Source organism: Homo sapiens, chromosome 7, assembly GCF_000001405.40.
Source record: "Homo sapiens chromosome 7, GRCh38.p14 Primary Assembly".
Lineage (NCBI taxonomy): Eukaryota > Metazoa > Chordata > Mammalia > Primates > Hominidae > Homo > Homo sapiens.
The window spans coordinates 121,527,879-121,532,563 of NC_000007.14; positions in this window are offsets into that span (position 1 = coordinate 121,527,879).

Here is a 4,685-nt window from a genome sequence, read left to right on the forward strand (position 1 = left end):
AATCTCACTCCTGGGCTCATTCTTTCTGATTATGAGGTGATCGTCACAGAAAATAAAATGGACACCCTCAATAAACAACTGGTATAGGCATTGGAACTTTCTGGCGAGACTTGTTTGCAAGCCTTCCCAATTCCTACTTTCTACCTCTGCATGGCTGAGGTAATAATTAGTTTTATTTAATTGTTTTTTGCACTTATTGTTCCCCTTTACTCCAACTTTCTCAGTTTTTGTTTTATCCTTTAGTGTTTGCATGTATGTCATATAAAGCATCTCAAATTATTTGAAGAATACAGCAGAAAGTGAAGGATGTAAGAAAGAGAGGAGGAGGATGGAGCAATTGAAAGAGGACAAAAGGAGGAATGTGTGGGGAGAAGAGAAGAAAGGAGGAAGAATAGCAATTGTCTGTACTAGAGATTTATTTTGTGCCATTTTTTGTTCTATGAACTTCCACTTACTTGTCACTAATTTTCCTCCTCTAGATGTGTAAATCTTATGTCAACCATTTAAACACACCCAGAAATATACTGATTTCCTTTCTTGAGAGATATTTCTTTCAGAGGCTTTTTAATAGCAGACGTCCTGGGAATTCTCTTTATCTCTTGGAAGGGATCAGCCATTTTCTGTGTCCTATGTCTTCCTCTTTCTTGGCGTACTCCCTCAATTTGGTAGAAAACATCCTCCAAAATATCTCTGAGAAAGGGCCAATGGGTAGAAAAAGTTTTGAAACTGCATATGTGGAAATGTCTTTATTCTATTCTCATGTGTAATTGGTAATTTGGCAGAGTACTAAATTGTAGGGTAGAAATACATTCCAGGTGAAAATGTGAAGATAATTCTCCACTCTTGTCACAGGACAGAAGCACTACTCCAGATATTGCTGTAGAGTGTGGTTTGTTTGATAGAAAAAGATGCAAAGATGGTAACCAGAATCTCATGTGTCTCAGGATCCCCATGAGAGTCTCCTTTCCAGCTGAAGCTTCCTTAAGCATTTTCCAAGAAAGGGAGTATTGCCAACATATCCCTAAAGAGACCCACCAAATTTATATCACCCAGCAGGTGCCAGTATAATAATACACATGAAGCCATATTTCCTAATTAGTCATATCAAAATGATTCAGTTCCAAGCAAGCATCGCAAACTTTTACTATTTGATGCTCTTTTTATTGCACAGTTGCACACCTGCACAGAAGCATCATTTTATTTTCTTAGATCCTAAAGGAAACCAGCCCTCTTTACTGCTAGTGAACTCACTGGGCCTTCTTACTCCCTCTACACTGCTGGCTAGTCACTAAAAATCCTGTCCCTCTTATTCCATGTTGCACAACAATGCTGCATTTTTTCAGCCTTGCTTATAGTTATGATTGCTCTGGTATTAATGCAGTTTTAGTAAAAGTGACGTGTTTTCTTCTTGATCAAAGGCTTTAAGAAAATAATACGTTTCCTACATACTTCCCCCCACCATTTTTCCAGCTGAATGTGGTGATAATGACATTCTAGAGAACAGAAACCCCCAATATAAGAAAGTTCCTTAGTCCCTGATGTACTAAATAAAAACTGCCCATTAACTAGAAACTTTGGATTTTTACCTGAACAAGAAATAAACTAATATGTTTGAGCTATTTTATAGTTTGATTCTATTTTACACAACACCTAATGCCATCCTAATACAGAATGCATTATGATTATTGATGCTTTGTCAGAAATCTTCCTTCCTTCCTTCCTTCCTTTCTTTTTTCCTTCCATCCTTCCTCCCTCCCTCTCTTCTTCTCCCTTTCTCTCTTCTCCTTCCTTCATTCCTTTCTTTCTTTTTCCTCTCTCTCAGTTTCTTTCTTCCTACCCCTGTTTCTCCTAGACTTTTTAGAATCCTCTCGTGGTCACCAGTATTCTGATATTTCAGCATGGTGTATCTTGTTAGGTTTCAATCTTTATGCAGAGAATTCAGTGGATTTTTTTCAATCTGAAATTTTAAAAACTTCATTTCTAGAAAACTATATTTAATTCCTAATTTATCTCCTTCATTTTTCTTTCTTGTAGAAATCCCAGTCAACTTCCTGAACTGGTTCTCTAATTTTCTTACGTGTTTTTCTTTTAATGTTTTTTTCCTCCACCTCCTAAGATTTTCTTCACTTATGAGATCCTAATGATCCCATAATCCTTTTTACTCAAATTCGTTCCAGTGGCTTCTATGTTTTGGCAATCACGAGAGCATAATTAAGAGAGTCATTCTTAAAGGACAGCTGTAGCATTGCAGATATATGCCTGGGAATACTTGTTTTTTGTTTTGTTGTTTGTTTGCTTTTTTGTCCTGTTTCACGTGGAAAAAGCAATGCTCTCTCTGGGAATAGACCTTCCTTTTCTCTGCCTTTCCATTGGCAAGTCATTGGCTGTTGCTTTATTGCCAGTGACTTCAGCATGATCTGTATCAGTCAGGGTAAGCTAGATTACACTACAGTAATAAACAAACTAAAAACTTTCAGGGCTTAAAACAATACAGCTTTATTTCTCACTCCTGATGCATGTCCACGACAGTTCGGTAATGAAACTTTGCTTCTTGTGGTCAGTCAAGGAACTCAGCTGCAAGAGTGGCCACTATCTTACTTGTTTCTGGTTAATGTGACAAAGGAACAAAAAATTTTTTGCGGTCTGGCATTGGTACTTAAGTGCACAGGCCCAGGGGAGCCACACCACACACTGTTCACAACTCTCTGGCTCAAATGAATCACACAGCCCCATTCAAACACAAGGGAGCAAAGACGTGTCAATCTACTCAGCACCCAGGAGGGCAAAACAGGAAACAGTAAACAGTCTAATGACTACAATGACTCATGCAAGAAAAAAGTTAAGTCAAAGTAAGAGTTCATATAATGTATATGTATGTCAATAACCCAAAGTACAGCTGTTTATTCAATAAAAAAACTAGACTAGTTATGAACATCTCCCAGTTGTCTTTGATTTTGTGTATTTATTTGCTTGTATCCAGAAGGCCATTGGTGGTTTTAGATTTTTTTTTATTTGTAGAAGAAGGAAACATTGACTATAATCATCAGCTGCCTTTCTAACACCTTCTAAGAAAAACCTTGGGGTATGTTTCAGCTAAGAGGTGGTAAGATTTCTTAATCATGATCCAAACTGTTTTTAACAAGTTTCAACAAAAACTATATATAGCCAAGAACCACCATCTGTTTCACATATTTTTGTGTCAGTGATAGATGAGGGAAAAAAGCTACTTGAAGTCACTGTCTTGAAGGTCTTTAGAATTGTCCCTTGAAGCCTGTGCTAACATTTTTTTTTTTTTTTTTGCTTTTCCACAATCTCCACAAACTGGCCAGCATTAACTATACGTAAATGGAATTCAATATAATATTTATTTTCAAGAAAAAGAAGGCCTCCTTGCTAAATGGGTCTAAGTATCAATCTTGAGGAGTTTTTTTTTTTTTTTTGCCGTTGTGACTCAGTCTTCATGCCTCCATGTGGAAGTATAAGCATAGAAGTTCCTCAATTTACAAACAGGTTACCTTTCAAAGTGTTTTATTGATGTTCTGGTTGTGTAGAAAACAAAAATGAATTTTCCCATATAAATTACGTTACAATTTGGTGGTTAGATTTCCAGATTTTTATCACAGGAAAGCTTTTCTTCCTTTCCCTTCTATTATCCATCTTCTTCTAAATCCTGCTTTATCTTCTTTGCTAGCTTTGACTGCGTGAAATGGGATTTTAAAGCATCAGATAAAATAAGGTCAAGTGGGGGACAAGTGAGAGGCAGCTGTTTTTACATGGCAGCAGGATTAAGCAGGAAGACAGGCATGTAGCGGCAAGGGAAGAAAGGTGGGGTTGTAGAACTGTCCCTACGACATGTCTTTTCAGCACAGCTTTGCACATAAGAGACTTCAAGTCTGACTCATATAAATTAAAGATTTTTTTTACTGTGTCGTGGAACTTGGCACATAACATTCATTGTCATCATCTGTGTCTGCACTATCCTATCCCCTTGTCTAGATTCTAATCCCATTATCACATTTCAACCTATCTTATGCATAACAGCAGGAGATATCCCATGTGCTAGGTATAGAACTACATGGACAGAACTAAATGTTACTGTGATTCACAGCAACGAGATTTTTTTAAATTTAAACTGGATTTCATTTTGGGTTAGTTAATACGTTAAGATGGTTCAACATTCGAAAGGAAGAAAAGGTATAACAAAAATCTCCCTTCCATATTGTTACTCTGGCAACAAATTCCCTGCTCTAGAATTAACTAATACTGAACTCCTTTTGTTTATCCTTACAGAGATATGTTATGCATATACAAATAAATACATATCTATCTGCCTATCTCTATCCCTTATTTTTCAATTATATAGTTTTCTTTGCATTGTTCTTTCACTTACGATTGTATCTTGGAGATCATTACATGTTACACAATGAATTTCTTGATTTTTTATGACTAACACTCTATTTGTTGGATATACCTACTTTATTTAACCAGCACTCTATTACTGAGCAGTTATTTATTTTTGATATTTTGTTATTACTAAAAATAATACATGTAATAAATTTTCATAAACATCATTTAGAATATGTTTGTTTAAAATATGTATGAATAAATTCCAGGATATATTCAGTATCCACGCAAACGTATCACAAACAAAATACAGATATAATATAGGTTTTATTGGGGATAAC